Below are 21,112 nucleotides of genomic sequence, written 5' to 3' on the forward strand. Positions count from 1 at the left end.
TGCATTTCCTATCCTAAGGAAATTCATTATATACAAGGGAAGTAGCCAGAGCATTGTGAAGAGTAGAATAAGAGAGCTAAAAACAAGCCTCCAGGAGAACACAAATGGTGCACATTCTCACTGACTAGGATGGCTCCCTGAAACAGAGGACCTTTTTGCTGAAAAAGCAGGAGACACAGAAGATACTGAAGAACTTTATAAGCACAGGGGTCAGCATAGGCAACTCCACAGAGGCAGAGGGATCTGGCCTTTGCAGGGAATCAAAATAGGCCATTATGCTAGAGAGATAAAGTATGGTGAAAGAGGAAACCCAGGGTGGGGGGCACAGGGAGCAGGTTCTAAATTTCTGCAGTGGGCTGGGTCTGCCTTCAAAGGAAGTGATTCATGTGGGAAACTAGGTCAGAGCTGCTTCTGGTGAATGCCATGATTAATAGCAACCTACGTGTTACTGTCCTTATGGAAAAAAAGAATAACAGGACTAATAATAATAGTCCTCCTGTAGGTATGATGTATGTTTCCAGCTTGGTCGCTAGTTTAATTACCTGCAGAAGACACAAGGACCAACATGATTTCTGCCTCCATCTTTTTTTGTGATTCATCATGGGAATTGTGAGTAACAGGTCCTTGTCATTCTGAAACCTTACCTAAAGTTAGGCATTAAGGGAGACACGGTGGAAATGGCTGGTGCCATCAACACTGTTTGATAGCTATATCTTCTCCCCTTTTGGTTTCATTTTACCTCTTCTTCCTTTTTTTTTTTTTTACCCTTCCTTCCAATCAAATTTTGATCCTCCTAAAGAGCCTTTGATGAGTCCTTTCAATGTGATTTGACACTAATGAAGGTTTCCCACTGCAAATGATAAACTGAGAATCAGAATCAACATTTATTAAGCACCTCCTGTGTGTGCTGTTTTCACAGCTGCTCTATCATTTCCATTTTATAGATGAGGAAAATGAACATCAGAAATATCAAGTGCTTTGTTTATCAATATTCATGTTCTCCTTTTCCTTCCTCCATTTCCCAGGCCACTCACATGGGGGTCACATGGTGAGTGCTCATCAATGGAATGTAAGTAACAGTGACTGTCACCTCCAGCCCAAGGTGGTTAAAAGTGGGTGAGCCTTCTCTACACTCTTGCTTTTCCTTAATCACTTGGCTGAACTGGGTGATCCAGTGGAAGATGCTGGGACTCTTGGAGAAGGCAAAGTCTATACTGGAAGAACACTGATTTCCAAATGACTGTGTAGAGTAAAGCACCCTCAACCTGATTTCACCTCCTCAACGTACCACTGACCTACATTGAACTAGGACATAAGCCAGCAATGAAACTTTATTGTTTTGTGCCACTGAGATTTACAGATTGTTTGTAACAGCAAATAACCTAAACTGATTAATATATAGCTAGGGCAAGATTTGTGTCAGTCAACTAATATTTATGGAATGCCTTCTATAAAACAGTGCCATCAGTGCAATTCAGAGTATTATATGATAAATTCCAAGTGAGTGGCATGCACAGACAAGGCATAGGTGATCAGAGTTTGGAGGGAGGGTGAGTTTTGAAGGCTAGGCAGAACTTACATGGTGCCCTCAACCACACACAAGGCAAAGGCTCCTGTAATGGCCAAGATTCTGCCTCTGGAGCCAGGGCTACGAGGCTTAACTCTAGATTTGCTCTTTACCAACTGAATGACCTTGTGGACCCCAAGCCTCCGTTCCCCTATCTGTAAAATAGAGCAAAAAATACCTATCTTCCAATGTTATTGGTTATTATAAAGATTAAATTCAGGGAGTGGGGGATGAGGGGAGGGAGAGCATTAGGACAAATAGCTAATGCATGTGGGGCTTAAAACCTAGAAGATGGGTTGATAGGTGCAGCCAACACCGTGGCGGACATATACCTATCTAACAAACCTGCATGTTCTGCACTTGTATCCCGGAACTTAAAGTAAAAAGAATTAAAATAATAATAATAATAAGATTACATGAAATAATGTGTATTAAGTAAATAAAATGGGACGTCCTTGATAAATAATAATTATTGTCACTAATATCGGTGTCATAAATATAAGAAGAAGTTCAGCTTCTCACTGGTTTAGACACAAATAAATCAAGTACTCATCTTGACCATAAGCATTTTCATCTATCGCTATTGGATACTAGTGTGACTATGGCCACCTCATTTTATGTTTTTATTTTCTCTAAGAATAATCAAAAGCTGAATCTAAAGTTTATCACATAAAAGATTTTACATACTTTGGACCTCAACTAATTCTGTCTTCTTATCTTGGATTTACAGTTTATTTAATTACAAACAAACAAACCAAAAAACAGTCATTTGACGAGTGGGCCTGGCCCAGAGTGCAGCTGTTTCTTCTTGGTGTGTACATTGTTATGCAGAGTGAGTGATTTTACTCTGTCACTTTAATTCATAAGATACTAGAGCAGCCAGGGGCTTTGGAGGACATCAGATCCAACCTACCATTTTACATCTACGGAGGAGGAAACTGAGGCCCAAATGTTAGTGCATCACAGATGTCCACATGCATGTTTTTTTTCTTTCTCTCTCAAGCTTTAAGGGTTCTAGCAGCTTAACTAAACGGCCCCAGTCTCACCCACAAGGCTTGATGGAACCTCTGTTAATCAAATCGCATGAGAAATGAGGTGCTACAGCCAATTAAACTTTCTGATCCAGTAAATTAACAGAGAATATATTCTTTATATATATTTTCCCCCTAATATACAGCAGTTCCCTTTTCCTGCCTTGTTAGGACAGTCTTGTGAACAAACTCAAGTGTGTCTTTAGTTAGCAGTGAAAGGAACCTAGGGATCACTTAGTCCATCTTGTTCATTTTTCAGATGAAAACAAAAAGATTTTATAATTGTCATACAATGTAATCTTTACAATGATCTTTTTAAAATTTTATTTCCTCCATGATGTAGATGAGAGAACTAAAACTCCTAACAATTGAATGACCTCCTCTGGATCATAGAACTCATAATACAGACAGTGGCACAGGCCCAGTTACCTGTCTCTCTGGGCTCACAGTAAGATTCCATTTCCCAGTTGGGTCTGGCCGTATAACTGAGTTCTCACCAGTGGAGTGTAAGCAGAAGGCATCCACGCCAGTTCCCACATGTGTTCCTCCATGCTCGCTCCCTTTACAGTTGGCTAGAATGGAGATGAACCCCAGGGTGAACCTGGAAGCCATGAATAAAGATTCTGCAAGCACCAGATAAATAGAGCCTGAGTTCTTGAATCATTGCCAGAGGAGGATGGCCACCTCCTGGTCAATACTACTTGTTGTGGACTGTCTGTAATGAGAAATAAACTTCTTTCATATTTGGTCCCTTGTAAACTTGGGGATTTATGTGCTGAAGCAGCAAGTATGTCCTTAATGCATAGCTTGCTAACGGCAGAACTACAGATACTTACTATGGGCAAGGCATTATGTTTGTGATAAAAGATAGGAAGATGACTTCCAATATTTTGGGTCCTTAAGAAGCATTAAGCACAGCTGGGTTCTGAGATATGGACAGACATAGCATAAAATGAAATAGAAATGGAAAAAGAAAAGTCTAAAGAAAGATAAATATGAAAGAACCTAGGAATCCAGAGAAGAAATAAGTCGTGCTGTTGTGTAAAGAGGAGTGATTTTTTGGAAGAAGGGTGGGAATTTTGGACTGGGAGGATGGGTAGCATGCACAGTCAGAACTCATAGGAAACAAGAAAAAGCCTGGTACAGTGAGCTGTTTATTGGGATGGAAATGGGATACACAAACAAATGGAACGGTAGGATAAAGCTCCATCACGAAAGATGCTAATGCCAAGTTAATAACTTTGAGTATTGTTTACAAGTTTGGCTAATGCTTGTCACCAACGCCTGCTGGCTGAGAAATCTTGAAAATGAATGGCATGCCATGCCCTCAGAGTGTGATGACAACCATTGGAGCTCAGAAAACAGGGAGTTTTCATTTCTGAGAGCTGACTCCCTAGTCTGCGGTAGATAGAGAGCAGAGGTGGGGCTGGGAGTGTGGAGAAAGAGCATTCAGAATTGGCCCACACTGGCAAGTTTCCAGGCTCTGAACAAGGTTGGGAGGAAAATGATTTGATGAGCTTTTCAATCCTGTTCCATTTCAGCCTTGCTCAGGGGACGTATGTTGAGGGAATTTTTTTTCCAGAAGTACATATGGAAATGGCAAGGTTGGTGTTTGATGGTGTGACAGAGAAAGCCACACTGGGGAAATAGTGTGCTTTGAAATCAGGTCACTTAGAAAAAAATAAATCCAGAAAAGTCAAAGCTTAAATGAAGCTATCAATTTAGGGACTTTTCACAGCCTTACTTACTGGGTTCTCTTTCTAACTTAAAAACTAGGAAAGGCACTTCTGAGTCTCTATCTTGGTAAAGTTTGTTTGAATCTCTTTTATTTTTACAGTGCACACATTGATCTCAAGTTTTAAGATCCTTTTTATCACTGTAGCTAGAAGTAAAAAAGCCACCCAGCTGTTCAGTCTGTTAGTGCCAAATCTGGTCTCTTCTGAACACTATAATTCTCATACTACAAGATATCCCAAATGTACAGAAAGGTCAAGCAGAAAGAGATGATGACAACTCTGAATTCTCATGTCATTTTAAAGATGAATCAGTTTGGTATGAGATCCTTCTTGGTAAGGGAAAATACTTCTCATTCTACCCCAATTCATGTCAAATTTCCCTACAGGGATTTCAATCCAATGTGCCTATTGTTTTAAGGAATAGTCACTGACACTACAACATTACATCATGTTTCTGTAGAGGGAAAGAGAAAGGAATAAAAATAAAGCCAGTATTTATTTTTCACCTTCTACCTATCACTTGCTTACATTATTATTTAATTATCAAAACAACCATATAATACAGGAATCCCTTTTCCCAACCTTTACAGAATAGAAATCAAAGTTTAGTTAACTTAAGGGACTTATTCAAGATCATATAACGGTAAAGGACAGAGATAAAAACAAGTTTATCCTGGCTTGAGAATTCATGTTAATAAGTTGCTTATAACCAAATATGCAATCAAATAGTAGAGATTTCATGAAATGGCATAAGAGGATAAAATAGGCCATATATATGCAAGTACTAAATAACATGGTATTAATCTCACTCATAAATATTGAATGAAAAGAATGTAATCAGTTGAGATTATCTCAAGAATGTATCTGGAAAAAGGTGAGATTTTTAGGAGATTAAAAACTGCTCATTTTGGACACTATTAATTTGTAAACATCATTACAATATAAGTATTACAATACAGAATATTATAATATTCTGCTGTGAACTCTACTATGATGCTCTTTTCTTAATGCACTTATTTCAAAAGGTCCTCTTTATAATTCATTGCTTTTAGAGCCTAATAATTCTAATTAAACATGATTCTTGACAGATTCATGAAATCATTCATACATACACAAATTTACCAGACACTTATGATATCCCACTGATTTGAGGATTGAGAGGTTCATGCTTTGTTCTCAAGAGATTTTGTTGTCAAAATCTCTATACAAGGAGTTCAAAATTCATCAAGCCAATAATCCTAGGTCTAGGACTGAGAAGAAGAAAGAGGGGCCAATATAGTCTCACAGTAAGAAGAAAACAAATAAATATACAGTCATAAAATAATGTAGCAAGTGCTATGCAGCAAGAAGTCCAGAGGTAGGCAGCTCTTGAGACCATTTTTCCCTCCTAGGTCTCTGAGCCTGTGATGAGAAGGGCTGCCTTGAAGATGTCTGACATGCCCTGGAGACATTTTTTCCATTGTCTTGATAATTAACATTTGGCTCCTCCTTATTATGCAAATTTATGCAGCAGGCTTGAATTTCTCCTTAGAAAATGGGTTTTTTATCTTTTATATCATATCATCAGGCTGCAAATTTTCCAAACTTTTCTGCTTTGCTTCCCTTTTAAACGTAAGTTCCAATTTCAGATCACTTTTCTCAAATTCAAAGTTCCACAGAGATCAAGAGCATGGACAAAATGCCACCAGTCTCTTTGCTGAAGAATAGCAAGAGTGACCTTTGCTCCCATTCCCAAGAAGTTCCTCATCTTCATCTGAGGCCACCTCAGCCTGGACTTCATTGTCCATACCACTATGAGCATTTTGATCAAAACCATTCAATAAGTCTCTAGAAAGTTCCAAACTTTCCCACATCTTCTGTCTTCTTCTGAGCCCTGCAAACTGTTTCAACCTCTGTTACCCAGTTCCAAAGTCACTTCCACCTTTTCAAGTATCTTTACAGCAGTGTCGCAGTCCCAGCATCAATTTACTGTATTAGTCTGTTTTCATACTGCTATGAAGAAATACCCAAGACTGGGTTATTTATAAAGGAAAGAGGTTTAATTGACTCACAGTTCCACATGGCTGAGGAGGCCACAGGAAACTTACAATCATGTTGGAAGGGGAAGCAGGCACCTTCTTCATAGGGTGGCAGAAGAGAGAGGGTGAAGGGGGAAGAGCCCCTTATAAAACCATCAGATCTCATGAGAACTCATTCACTATCATGAGAACAGCATGAGGGAAACCTCCCCCATGATCCAATTACCTCCCAAGAGGTCCCTCCCTCAACACCTGGGGATCACAATTCAAGATGAGATTTGGGTGAAGACACAAAGCCTAACCATATCATTAGGTGTACGGCTAGGTAAGGTATTGCAGGTCAAGGCAAAAGTGTGTTTCAAGGCTCAGAGAAGTGAGAGAATGTGTGGGGTTTTGTCTAATTTACTAGAGAGTGGATAGGTAAATAGAGGGCAGACCAGTGAGGGTGAGGTTTGAACACCATAGGGTCCACTAGACATGTTGGAACTCCCCTTCTTTTCTCTAGGTTTTGGAGAATGGCACCTATGCTGTTATAATACATACTTAAATTTTGCTTTCTATTTAAAAGTGCTTTCTATTCACCACGGTTTGGGTTCCTTCTGACAGAGGTCATTATCAGAGATTCAGACCTTTATTTACTCAGTTCCTTGTTGTGGTTTTGCAAGGGAGGTTTTCTTGTTCCTCTCCAAAAACAGACTTGCCTGTGAAGGTGGGTTACACTTCCATTCTCTTAAGTCTGTCATAATAAAGATATTTCATCAAGCACTAAATGAAAGCCAGTATTTAGAATGTACTTTGTGACTTTTGTGGGTTATGAGATGCTGAATGTGAGACACTGTAGCCAGTTGCTTAGGGAAATTGAAAACAAATTCTTCTCTAGACAAATTAGAAAACCAGGTCAATGCCTCATTGCATAGTCCTGCTGGAAGACAAGAATTAAGGCTGAATACATTGTCAAGGTCATTTCAGATCCTATTATTCTGCTTCTCTGGTGATAACGATAATAAAAATAGCACTTTTTATTTGTGACTCACATAATTTTCAGAATTCTTTCACCTATGATCTCCTCTGAACAGCTGATGAGGAATTTGTGCCATCAACCTGGAGGATAACTTGGAGGACCAAGTGCTCCCAACCAGACCTCAAGGTTAAAAAGAATTTCAAATAGGAGGTATGAGATATTGACCAACGTACAACATATCCTTTTGTCTTTTATACCAAAGATGATTTCATAGATGTTAGCTTGCCTCCATATTTCCAAACTTAAAATTTAGGAATATTCCCAGAACATTCTACTCTTCTTGCAGAGTCCTTTATAATTACTTGTTTTTAAAAAAGCTATGTAAATTTTCAGTTCATTTATGCCATGGAGAAAGGAGTTTTATAATTACTATCTATCTTCACTAATATGGTTTTAATTTTTGTTTCATCTATACTAAGTTTTCTAAATGTAAGCAGTTCTCCATAGTTAATTGTGATATCACTATTAACAAAAATGTCTTTCAGGGACATACCCAACTGACAGAAACATAGTAATCAGAGACAGAAATGATCTGAAAGACTGGAGGAACTCTGCAGAAAACAATGAATACAATGAAGAACTGGGAACCATAAAATATGTGTGAGCCACAGGGTAGAGAGAAAAGAGGTCAGGACTTAGGCACAGGCATCCTTGCCCAAAGTGTATTCTGTAGAACCCATTCTGCTACATGTTCTCAGAAGAAGAGTGGGGTCTTATGGTCAAGTAAGTAGAATGTATCCCCTTTGATGGTATACATGCTAGCATAACCAAGCCTCTGAGAAGTCTATAATAAAGAAAGTTGCAAAACTTTGTTTAATCCAGAGGCCTTCAAGCATTTGGACAGCAGATACCATTTTTTCCCCCATATAGCTTTGGATCAGGGTTCCATGAAATACACTTTGAGAAATGCTGTTTTGAAGTTAGGGAAAGTGAGAGAGAGGCCGGCCTACGTTTTTGAAGAAAAGGAGACCTACCAGCAGTCCTATCATATATAAAAGGTTATTTTGCAATTTCCTTCCAAGAGATCCTTCAAAAATATAACAGCATGCATGGTGAAGTGTTTGGAGAGAAATGTATTTCTGTTTTCAACTTACTTTGAAATGTATCAGAAACAGGTGAATTAATTGACAGAGGGATGGATACATACATGATCAAACAAGTATAATAAAATGATAATTATAGAATCTAGGTGGTTGGTACATTGAGAATTTGCTGTACCTTTTTTATAATTTTTCTGAATGTTTGAATAAATTTCAGGTAACATGTTGAAAAAAAATAGAATATATATCCAACCAACACTTGCATGAAGTATGGCTTAGAAGGAGGTAGAAAGGCTTATTGGATTTTCAGCTTTTCATGATAGTTTCTATCTGTTGACCATGGGCTAAGTATTAGGCTGGATATATCACATACATATATTATCTAATTTATTATTCAAACCAACACCAACAGAAGTTTGGACATCAACACTTTAATGATGAGACAAATGAGATTCAGTGAGGCTAAGTATCGTGACAAAATTTGCCCTTGTTAAACCATGTGTTAATGCTATGTGTAGAAGTCGCCACAATGAGCATTTCCTTCCTCTCATCCCATTCCCCATATAGGACTATCTGGCAATGCCCACAGGAAATTTTTCCCTTCCTCCAACCTCCTCTCCTTCCTACTCTTCAGCCTTCTTTTGTAGTTTGGTGGGACTAAGCAGCTGTGGTGAGAAGAAGAAAAGTAGACAAGAGTTATCTCACCCAAAAAGAGCCCATATTTATTGACCAATGAGGAGGAATGGGAATGAAAGGAAACAAAGAGAAGAAGCTGTGGAGGAAACATGTGAATATGATAGAGAAGGAGAAGGAAATGAGGGAGAAAGAAAAGGCTTCAAAACAGGTTGGTGACCCAGCTGAGTGCAGGGGGAATAGACGAAAATTTTTTTTAATGCTGCAGTGGCATATATTAATAAATTACATATTTACTATTATTTGAGGGATACAGTATTGAAGTTACTTTTATTTCTTTGCAAGAACAATACTTCTTTGAATGTGATATTTCTGTGCTCTATATTTTTAAAAATATGCATAGGAGGCCGGGCGCGGTGGCTCATGCCTGTAATCCCAGCACTTTGGGAAGTCGAGGTGGGTGGATTACCTGAGGTCAGGAGTTCAAGACCAGCCTGACCAACATGGTAAAACCCCATCTCTACCAAAAATTACAAAAATTAGCCGGGAGTGGTGGCAGGTGCCTGTAATTCCAGCTACTTGGGAGGCTGAGACAGGAGAATTGCTTGAATCTAGGAGGCAGAGGTTGCAGTGAACTGAGATCGCACCATTGCACTGAAGCCTGGGTGACAAGAGAGAAACTCCAGCTCAAAAAAAAAAATGCATAGGAAACAGATTTCTGTTTCCGCATAAATCTCGGCAGGAAGCATATCTCACATTGATCCACTTCACTGGGGTCATCAACTTTCTTCATGTGGCAAAGGATCCAAATCCTTGGATGCCAATGGGTGGAATGTTGGGAAAGACAGGCAGTGGTATGGGACAGACATCCTCCTTCTCTTCTTGGTAATGTGTGAACTTAGGTAAGTTACCAAGCTGCTCTGACTGTCAGCACCATTATGCCAATCAAAATGGTCTTGACTGTGCAGATCTTTGACTACTTACTTATGGGGATCCTAGAGTGGACATCAGTGGGCAGCCCACTGAAATACTTCTTGAAATGTGATGAAAAATCTCTAGGTCAGCAGAAGAGAGGCCTGACATAAGCCATTAAGCAAGAAGATCAGGTATGGGTTTAGTTTTGTCTGCTTCAGCTTTGCAGCTGCACAAAATGAGTCAGTCTTTAGCCCAGCCAATGAAAGTCTTTAATTTCGGGTCTTTACACTGAGCCAGGAATTTAGGACTGTGTACTTAGTATTTTCTTTCTCTAGAAGCCACCACCCATTCACACATCTTAGAATTTCTTATAGCAAGTTCTACGGCAAGGGACCATGTGGTCTCCATACCTCATCTTCACTGGGGGTTTTATTACAGTTGACCATGCATGATAATTGGATTAATTGTTTTTGCCAGTCTCTGTCTTAGGTTGCCAGAGTCCCATTCCTCAACAAGAACTGGATTTTCACTATTCATAGCCCTAAGTAAACCAGACAACCAATGCCAATTTTTCCAGTGTCCTGAGGGTCTGCTGCTATAACCACACCACTTCTGGTATTGACAAATCCGGGTTCTTCAGTTGAGAAGATAATTCTGAGGAATCTACATAGGAAACAGATTGTCCAGAAGCATACCGGATAAGACAGGTTTTCTAGAGAAGACAGAGAACCAGACTCGGGAGCCATATAACTAAGAAAAATGTAAGCCACAGAAGTGGTTCCAGGCTGCCACTTCCTCTGGGTGGACACAAAGCTGGACTCCGGATGCTGCTACCAGAAACACTTCTGTGTCACCTCTGCAAGCAGGTGTTACTTTCTCTGTCTCTGCCTATGGCCAGGTAAGAGTGAGTATCGTCCCTGCCTCGAGGGACCACTAGTTTCTCATCCAAAGTCAAGGGACAGTTCTGAATGAAGGAGCCTAGGTCATTTGCTGTCCTAGGGTGCCTTACCCAGAAGCAGGCTCTGAGATAAGGGTTAGTATAAAAGTGGCTTATTTTAGAAGGGCTTAATAATGTATGATATGAAAAAATACAATATATGTTACAACAAATAAAATAGTCTAGCCCAGATTCAATTTTTGTATTTGGGAATCAGTGCAGTAGAGCCGAAAACTTTACTACAATGAGAGCATCTTGGGCCTAGATGTGGACACTAACCAGCTGCACATTCTTATTTAAGTAAGAGTGCCAGAAAAAAGAAACATAGAACTTTCAATTGAATTTATATTCCAGATATTTTGACAACAAAATATTGTTAGTATTTTTAATTTTTTAGCTTTTAGTTTATTGCATGGGACCTGCATATACTAAAAGTTATCCATCATTTTTAAAAACTGCATAGGATACTTAAAGCTATCATTGTATATCCAACACTCAAATTAACTAGGCTTTCCTTAATTTATTTGCTAAAGCTGGCAACCCTATATTTAGGTCACTTAACTTCTCTGATCCTTAATTTCATCAGCTGTGAAATGGTCTGATAGCCCATTAGTCCACAGGAGACACTCAGTAAGTAGTCGTGACTTTCAATTTTCTAACAGTTTACTCCTAATGCATATGGGGCAAGATCACATCTCGAAAGCACAGAGTTAAGGTGTTTTTATATTTCCTCCACTTTCTGAAACATGAGCCAGATCAATTGTTCCTTGATCAGATAGAAACCTGTAAGGCATGGATGGGTTGTCATTTAATGCATTGTCCATGTTCCAGCTGGCTACCTCCCCAGCTGGCCAGCACACATTATTCCCTGGGTTCAACTTTGCTCCTGGCTTGCAGGAGGCAGCTAATATCCAGGTCGGGCTGTTTGGCTGGTGTATTCTTCCCAATGACTTCCCCTTCCCTTGCCTCTTCTATCCATGACATTAAAAAAAAAAAATCACAGCCTCTTCTTTACCAAGCAGCTGCTTCCCCTAGGACTTACTATCTCTCAGGCTCGAGTTCCTATTGGGAAACCCATAAAAAGGGATGTTTAGACAACATGGGGCATTATAGTAATCACAGAACTCTGAATATTTGTTGGAAAAATAATTTATTAGGCTTATTACTTTTCAAAATATGTCTGTTAAAGCATTTCCAGGGATTTGGGGAAGAAAGGGGAAGGCAGTATCATGTGCTTGGTCTGTGATCTTCAAATGAAACCCACTTCATTGCAGTGTAAAATGCTTTCCACAGATTTTCACTTCGTCTTCATGGTAACTGGGAGCACAGTCCCCCACAGCATTTTCTGCTACGTTCTCTCTCATCTTGGTCTTTTCTGCAAGACTACCTAATGATAAGGGTGAGAGCCTGGGCTTTTTGTAAAAATATGACTCAGAATCTTCTAAGGAAATTAAGTTCACAGCTACCAGAAGAGGTCCTGCATAGGAGCTATTCATTTTCTGTGTGTGTTGACCTCTAAATTCTTTTTGTGTTTATTCATGTAACAATTACTTACTGAGCTATGTCTTAGTTTGGAGTATCCAGCATCAGATGCAGAGATCAGAGTGTGTATGAAAATGATCAGAGAACTCCCATGGAGGGATGCATGGTCTATTGATGACCCAGCTTCTGCCCTTCCAGACCCACCTCCACATCAATGGTGAGGACAGGCTGCTTGTAGGCCAGCGGTTGAAGACAGCGGGCACCCATATAGGCCCTTTCCTATGGGACACAGGACTCCTCAGGTGAGTGACTTAAGTTCAAGAGTCTGATCAGCCTGGTCAGAACTTTCTTAGGACTGCAATGCAATCCATGACTCTTCCAGCCCAATCCTCCTGCCTTCCCACCTCCTCACAAGGGCCAGATCAGCATCACCGTCTGAAGACTCCCTGCCTACCCCTCACCCTCCCGTTTACCCAATACACGTATTCCCCCAATGGGTTCCTTACACATTTGATGTTCTTTGGCATTTCTTCTCAGAAGACCCAAACTAATACAACATGCCATCCCAAAAGCACAGTGAGGGAGTGGGGAAAAGAGGCAGGGAAGAAGAGAGAGGCCACAGAGAATGTTGACAAGGCTACCTCTGTGGGCAACTCGAGGTTCAGACCTCCCCAGAACCTTCTGAGAAACTGCATGGAACTCGCCTCAGAATTCTACCCCTAAGCAGCAAGAAACCTGGAGTGTTTATTCACAACTCCTGTCCCTCCATGAGTGAGGGTCACTCCCGGGCATTAACTGGCTTGCACTCCCTGGCTTGCTACATCACCTTGTCAGGGGTGACCCTGGTACTGGGCCAGGAAGTCTGACTCCAGAGCCTAAATTCTTAACCACTAAGCCATGCCCTTCAAATTTATTACATTTGAAAGTTTGAATTTAAAACTAACATAGCATCTATCAGCTACTTTTTTTTTGTCCCCAATTAAGGAAAATTTGGCAATAAACATCTTTCTTACTAAAATATTTTATACAGCTGGGCGCGGTGGCTCACGCCTGTAATCCCAGCACTTTGGGAGGCCGAGGCGGGAGGATCACCTGAGGTTGGAAGTTCGAGACCAGCCTGACCAACATGGAGAAATCCTGTCTCTACTAAAAATACAAAATTAGCCGGGCATAGTGGCGCATGCCTATAATCCCAGCTACTTGGGAGGCTGAGGCAGGAGAATTGCTTGAATCCAGGAGGCGGAGGTTGCGGTGAGCAGAGATCGCGCCATTGCACTCCAGCCTGGGCAACAAGAGCGAAACTCCATCTCGAAAAAAAATTGCTAAAATATTTTATACTAGTAAAGTTGTCAATCTATCCAGCTAGCTGATAGAAGACCATGGCCTCTTACTCACTGTGTGACCTTGGGTAGATGACTTAACCTCTCTGTGCCTTAATTTCTTTATGGATCAAAAGCAGGTAACAGTCTGTCTTGCTGACTTTACAGGATTATTTTGAAGACCTTCAGAGTGCACGCTTATGAAACAGCTTTGTAATAAACTGTTAAGTGCCTTCCAAGTGGAATGGATTATCCTTCTTAGATAAGCTTGAACTTTCTCCTTCCCTGCTCTGCTCTACTTCGGAAACAAACGCATACACTGGCCACTCTGGCCTTCTCCTATCCCTGACCCCACAATGTTATAGGAGTTCTCCTCTGGTTCCTCCTCTGGTTCCAAAACCAGTTTCACAATCTCAACAGCACAAAATGTTTCATTCTATTCCAGTATAGCTTAGATAATATAGATAAGAATCTGTAATTCATCCTTCCTTGATCAATGTTCTTGACTGTTTCATGCTTGCCTGAACACGGTCCATTCAGTTGTAAAGCCAGAGGCTTAAGAACAATGAATGGTTTCAGAACTTTCTCATGTCAGTTAGGCAGCTTTTTCTTAATTCTCTCTTCCTAAGGAGGTTTCTAAAATCTTATTGGGTCATTCACCTCTTTGAGACTCTTATGAAAGGCAAGGCTCCTCTCCTTGGGAAAAATAAAAAATAAAAACATAAGCCTGTATACACACAGAGACCCACAGCCCCCAAGCCCTCACCACTCCCCAGCATACATATAAATTAAGTACAATTTTGTAGGTACTCACAGCCCTCCGAAACCTATAACTGAAGCTCCTTGGTAAAACATTTGCTCTCTGATGTCAGCTAGATCTAGTTTTACATACTGGTTGTATGTAAAATAGCTACCAATAATGCTGGCACACAGTAAGTATTCAATAAATAAGAGCTGTTTTTATCATTAATGTAACATTACCTTCTCCGGAAACATTACACAGTCCTGGGAAACGTTCAAAAAAAAGGGCTGGGCAGTTTCAAACAGATGGGACCATTTTCTAAAGAGAAGAGGTTTGCTTTAAACCTGGAAAGAGGCTAGTGTGTTGGTTCTCCCTCTGCTGGCCTGAGGTTAACATACATTCTTTGTTTTGATTGTGGTGAGTGTCCATGTACCCTGGGGAGAAGAAAATGGGGCCAGAGGTGGGAGATGGGCAGCTGGGGAGGTCATGGTTAGTTCTAAGCCATCGCGCATACTGGGAAAGCTAAGGACAGGGAGGATGTCTAACCCTTTGTTTATTATTCCCCAAATACTGTATTTGCTGAGCAAATGAGTATCTGTTATTAGGAGGCTTCATGACAATGAGATGAATGAATGAGATCCAGCCCTACTCACAAACCCTGGCCTCATCATCAAAAAGTTTGCCTTCACTTCCAGACTTGGAGTTATAGTTGAAATATGGGGACTCTGGATAATGGTTAAGAACAAGAGCTTTGGCCTCTGGGCTCCAGCTCTGCCCTTATTAATGGAGGGAATGATTTACTGGAACTTGAGCTCCCTGAGTCTCAGTTTACTCACCTGTAAAATAGGCGTAATAATAGTCCCCACCTTATGAGTATTAAATAGTATATCAGGTGCTTAGTGGAGAGTCTAGCAATAAAACAAACTTAATAAGTGGCAGATATTAGCATTATTTTGATTCTAACATAGGAATAGTATTTTAAAAGCCTTTAGTACATTTAAAATTCACAATAATCCTTGCTTGTTGTATGAGGTCAAAACACTTGAACTTGCTAATATTCAGCCACTTACAAAACCAGCAAATTTTCATATGGTTTAATGTAATAGAAGAATTGGAAAATTCATAATAAAAATAGAAATTATGCATAGTACCGCCATCCAGAGCTACACATTTGGGTGTAAGCTTCTGATATCTTGTCTATCTGTAAATAAGTCATGCTAATATGAAGTAGGAGTGCAATCCTGATCAGATCAGGTTTTCTAAAAATCCAGTCGGACTGCCAGGTGATCAAGGAGCAGTCAAAATGTCCCCCAGAAGATGCCAGGGTAATGGGCAGAGCCTGCGGACAGGAGAAGGGCATTGTTAACATCCACCGTGCTCGAGGGAGACCCTGGGTGTTCTGTTCAGTGTCTATACAACCCTTCCTGTAGCAGCACCCTCTGCCTGTTAAGGGCAGACTGCTGCCTCAGCAGATACACTTGGCCCTGGCAGCGAGGGATACAGCCTTGACAGGCGATTTCATCGGCTCCTTAGAGATGAGATAAATTGTAGCTTTGACTTTATAATTTCCCAACCACTTTGGGTAATCAGGGTTTCTGCTAGAGCACAATGACTTATTAGAGTAAAACCGTGGTAGGGTTAAATCCACCATCTCTCTTTATTGTCCCAAGCTTTTTGCCAACATAAATAACTCCTAGCTATTTTTGGAATGGAGATGTAGCTATCAAGCTGTGCACGGCCTAGCAAGGCTTCGTGATGCATATGAAAGCTTTCTAAATGTCCTGCTGCTCCTGTTAAGAGGGTAGAGGAGGCTGGGCCCAGAAGGGCCTGCTCTTTTCGTCTTCTGGTCCTGGAGTTGTTGAAACTCTTATTGATGCAGACACAGATTATCAATTGTCCTGTCACTCCCCATGGAGACTCTTTTCCCATTACTCCAAGTTAATGAAATAGTGAATGTGCCTGTGCAAAGAACGATGGGCTAGGAGATGAGAGCCCATGATTTAATCTCAACTTTGCTACCAGCTCTGTGACCAGGAGCAAGTTACCCATCCTCTCTGGCTTGTAGTTTCCTAAAAGAAAAACCCAGGGAACTGAGAGAGATGATCTCTAAGCTTTTTTCTAGTACAGTTTTCAAGCTCTCTGTATACCTAATGGAAATCCTTTCTCTCCTCTTTCAGTGAGTCTATGAACTAGGAAGTAATGAGGATCTAAGAGTCCAAGGGTCCAAGAGAAAATTAGAAGTTGTGGGAGATTATTTTGTTTATCAAGAACACTAATGAGAGAAGGAAAAGGCCCGTAAGATGGCAATGCATATATCTGACAATGGGCATATTCCCAACATATATAAAGAACTCCTACATATCAATGAGCAAAAAGGCAGACAACGCAACAGAAAAAGGGCAAAATAGTTTAATTAAAAAGGATACACAAACAGTGGATAAAGTTTAGAAAGATACTCATTAGTTATCAAGGAATACAAATTAAAACTACAAAGAGATGCCCCTCCACATACACCAGAATGGCTAGTGATGAAGCCAAGCACTAATGAGGATGCAGAGCACCAGGGACCTGCTTATACCTCAGGTGGGATAAAAAAAAATGGTACAACCATTTTGGAAAATGGTGTAATATTATCTATGAAAGCTGAACATATTTATAATTTATGACCCAGTAGTTTTACTCATTAGGTATATACTCAACAGAAATGCATATACTCATCTCTTAAAAGACTTGTACAAGAAAGCAGCATTATTTGTAAGCAGCTAAAAACTGGAAACCACCCAAATTTCCATCAACAGAAGGACAAATAAATAAATGGGTATATTTGCACAATGAATTCTAAACAGCAATGTGAGTAGACTACCACCAAGCACAACTTGAATGAATTTCAAAATATAATTTTCAGCAGAATAAACCAGACATAAAAGGGCATATTACATAATTTCATTTAAAGGAAAAACTCACCTCTGCTATTACATGTCAGGGCAGTAGTTTTCTTGGGGTTATGTAGTGACTGAAAGGGAATAGAAAGGGGCTCCTGAGATGCTAGCAATGTTCCATTTCCTGAGCCAGGTCTTAGTTATGGAGATGTGCTTACTTTGTAAAAATTCATTGAGCTGTATATTTATGATATATATAATTTTGGGAGCATATTTTATACAACAATAAAAATGTTTTTACTTGAAAAAATAGAAAAATATGAATTCTGTGATATTTTTGGTATTGTTTTCTTAACGCCACCCCAGAGGCTTTTTTTAAACCATTCTAACGTCCGTTGATCTTTTTTTTTTCCAAGCTTGCTCTGTATCACATAACCCAGAATTTGATAACCGGCTATCTTTTTATGGTTCTCTGATTGTTTCATTTGCTAAAATCTTACCCTGTCAACTGCATTGTGAGTTCTAGAGCCTGGTAGCTATGCCTTTTACTACTGGACTCCGGAAAGCAAAAAATGTAAAACCTTCCTATTTGTCCCTCTGGTTTCCATTATTTAGTGCACCCATATTCCCATGTGCTATTACACAGCCCTCAGTCCTGGCTTTTTCTATACTTGTGCCATGGATTTATAAACCTGCCAGTTTTTTCTATCCCTAAACTTCCCACTTATAACATCTGCAGAATAACCTGCCTTTTTTCTCTTGATAACTGTAGCTTTATGGTTTAGTTCTGTAAACTTAGCAGCTGACCAAGCTAAATACTATGCTATGCTGCAGGGAGGTATAGGTAATAACAGCAAGTCCCTGGTCCCAGGAGTTCCTTGGATGGCCAGGAAAGACAGCCTCCTCAATGCAAAATGTCTCATCAATGCATTAAGTAGATAGAAAGAAAGAGAACAATTACCCAACCCAGTCATGGGTGGCTCAGAGAAGGCTTCCAGATGAAGGAGTCACCTTAGAATCACCTAAAGGACGAATAGGGCTGGGTGCAGTGGCTCACGCCTGTAATCCCAGCACTTTGGGAGCCGAGGCGGGTGGGTCACCTGAAGTCAGGACTTCAAGACCAGCCTGGCCAACATGGTGAAACCCCATCTGTAATAAAAATACAAAAATTAGTTGGGTGTGGTGGCGGATGCCTGTAATCCCAGCTACTTGGGGGGCTAAGGCGGGAGAATTGTACCCGGGAGGCAGAGGTTGCAGTGAGCCAAGATCACACCATTGCACTCCAGCTTGGGCGACAAGGGCAAAACTCCACCTTAAAAAACAAAAAAAAAAAACAAAAAAAAAAAACACAGAATTTGGCCAAGTGAAGAGAGTGGAAAATCTGTTCAGGTAGATGAGACAGCAAGTGTAAAATCACAGAATCATGAAACAGCAGAGTGTCTGTGTGTACCAGTGTATGTGTGTCTGTATCCATATTTGTGTAAGGCAGGGTTATTATAACCAGTTGGGTATCTCTGGCTTCTAGATAGAGAGGCTGGGAAGGCATAAAGTGGGCAAGGACAGTATGTGGAGATATAGAAGTAGATGGGGGGCCAGGTATTGAGGAGCCCTGAATCCTAAGCTGATGAGCTTGGGTCTTATGATATGGAACAGGGGTAGGCAAACTAGAATGGCAGCCAAATCCAGCGACCTGTTTTGTAAATGAAGGTTTATTGGAACACAGCCACACCCATTCATTTAGGGATTATTTGACTGCTACACAGCAACTGCAGAGTTGAGCAGTTGCTCCTGAGACCGTGTGGCCCAAACTTTGACAACTCCTTGTTTTGGTTTGAATCTGTGTCCCCACCCAAATCTCATGTTGGACTGTAATCCCCAGTGTTGGAGGTGGGGCCTTGTGGGAGGTGACTGGATATGGTGGTAGCTTTTTCATGAATGGCTTAGTACCATCCCCTTGATACTGTCCTTGCAATAGTGAATGAGTTCTTGTGAGATCTGATCTTTTAAAAGTGTGTGGCATCTCCTCCCTTCTTCTCTTGCTCCTGATCTTGTCACATGGGGTGCCCGCTCCCCCTTCACCTTCTGCCATGATTTTAAGTTTCCTGGGGCCTTCCCAGAAGCAGAGTAGATGCCAGCACCATGCTTCCTGTACAGCCTGCAGAACTGTGAGTCAATTAAGCCTCTTTTCTTTAAAAATTACCCAGTCTCAGGTATTTATTTATAGCAGTAGGAAAACAGCCTAACATACCCTTGATCTGGAAGATAATGAGCCACGGAGAGGCTCTAAGTAAAGGGCAGAGATGACTAGGTGTATGTGAGAGGAAAGTCACCCAACATAGTCTCAGTGCATTCTGTGGAATGGAGATGGCTTATTTTGCTTAAGTAATAAAGAAGCATTATGGGGGCCTACTTGAGTCAAGTACTGTGTTTTCTGAGCACAGGACTATACTGAGTCCTTCTCCATACCTGCAAGGAACCACAAACATAATGTACATGTCCATGGATATAATCAGACCCCAGGAGAGGGAACAGGAAGTGAACTGAGGTGGGCACAGCTCTACCAACCTTGGGCTTTGTTCTTCAACACTGAGATTTTGGTTTAGAGAGCTAAAGTGACACTCCCCTTTCCCATTTTTTGAGTTTAGAAATCAAGTAGTAGAAAACCTTAGGAATCAAGTAAATAGAAATGAAAATATTTCTTATTAAAACTTCACCCCTGAAGTAAACAAATGTACCACCCCACAGACATTGGCAGGGCTGAATGACCTCAGGTTCTATGAAGACTTGTTCCTGAATGTTCACTTCAGCAAATATGCAGTGACGGAGGAGACGAATGAGCCTAGTAAACACACTTATCAGACAAGTCATTACTCCTTCCCTGGAGAGGGAACAAGGTGAGAGCCAAGAGTGTCACTCAGTGGAGCTCTCTCCACATGGAAGCATGAAGGCATGAAGGTGGGGAAAGGAGCTCCCTCCTCAACACTGTGAGTTTATTTTCCTTGGAAGAACTCTATCTTTTGGTGATGTACCAATGTTAGACAATTGTGGGATTGTCTCCTCTGAGTCACTGGGCCAGGCTATGGCTCTGTGGATAGTGGTTTTCCTTACAGAGAACTAAGGTCCTTGCTATCACTCATCCTGGAAGATGCTGATGCTGAGAAGGGAAACAAGGACCTGCATGAGTCCCACACTAGGTGAGAATCAGTTTAGCCCAGAACCCAAAGTATGAAGATGCCTGGAGAGTTTGTGGTGGTGGGAAGCTGGCTGAAAGGCCCAGCACATGGAGAACACACCATCAGATACGAAGGGAGGGGGTCTGAGAAAAGCCCCTGGGATGAGATTGAGCCAGCTGGGAGGAATGATACGTTATTACCCACAGTGCACAGCCCTTCCATTATCCCTGAAGCTTCAATGCACTCCTGTTCCACACCCCAAATCCAGTTTTTTTTTTTTAGGTATTATATGTGGTAATATCTTGTGCTGCAGATGGAGTAGCAAGAGGAAGAACAATGCCACAATCCCCCGATGCAAAATTGGTAGAAAGAATAACTACTAGCTACCCCTCTTCACAGAAGAGTGGCCATCCCACCAGCCATCAGCAGTAGAGGAAGTAGCATGGGAGCATAATAAGAACTATGGGTGGAGGAACTCAAAGTTCATGTCCCTGAGCACCTCGGACCTCTGAGATACAGCCAGATGCCTTGCAAAGGGCTACTTCCCAGAAATCATGTTAGTAGGACTCAAACTGTTCTAATTTGGGCATAAAGGTAAATGAGGCATTGTTTTGCAGTC

General features: G+C 40.9%; 1 long non-coding RNA gene across 1 annotated transcript in view, besides 1 other annotated feature; it reads right to left on the minus strand.

Annotated features, from left to right (window-relative positions):
- Positions 1 to 1,200: an enhancer, noted in NCBI's record as "P300/CBP strongly-dependent group 1 enhancer chr4:15183990-15185189 (GRCh37/hg19 assembly coordinates)". NCBI's record gives its function as "activates an origin of replication core promoter dependent on BRD2, BRD4, P300/CBP, MED14 and CDK7 cofactors, with strong dependence on P300/CBP, by STARR-seq in HCT116 cells {active_cell/tissue: HCT116}" and the evidence as "EXISTENCE:reporter gene assay evidence [ECO:0000049][PMID:35650434]".
- Positions 1 to 21,112, minus strand: part of C1QTNF7-AS1 (C1QTNF7 antisense RNA 1) — a 422,973-nt gene that overhangs the window by 177,424 nt on the left and 224,437 nt on the right. The window lies entirely within an intron of this gene.

This window comes from Homo sapiens, chromosome 4, assembly GCF_000001405.40.
Source record: "Homo sapiens chromosome 4, GRCh38.p14 Primary Assembly".
Lineage (NCBI taxonomy): Eukaryota > Metazoa > Chordata > Mammalia > Primates > Hominidae > Homo > Homo sapiens.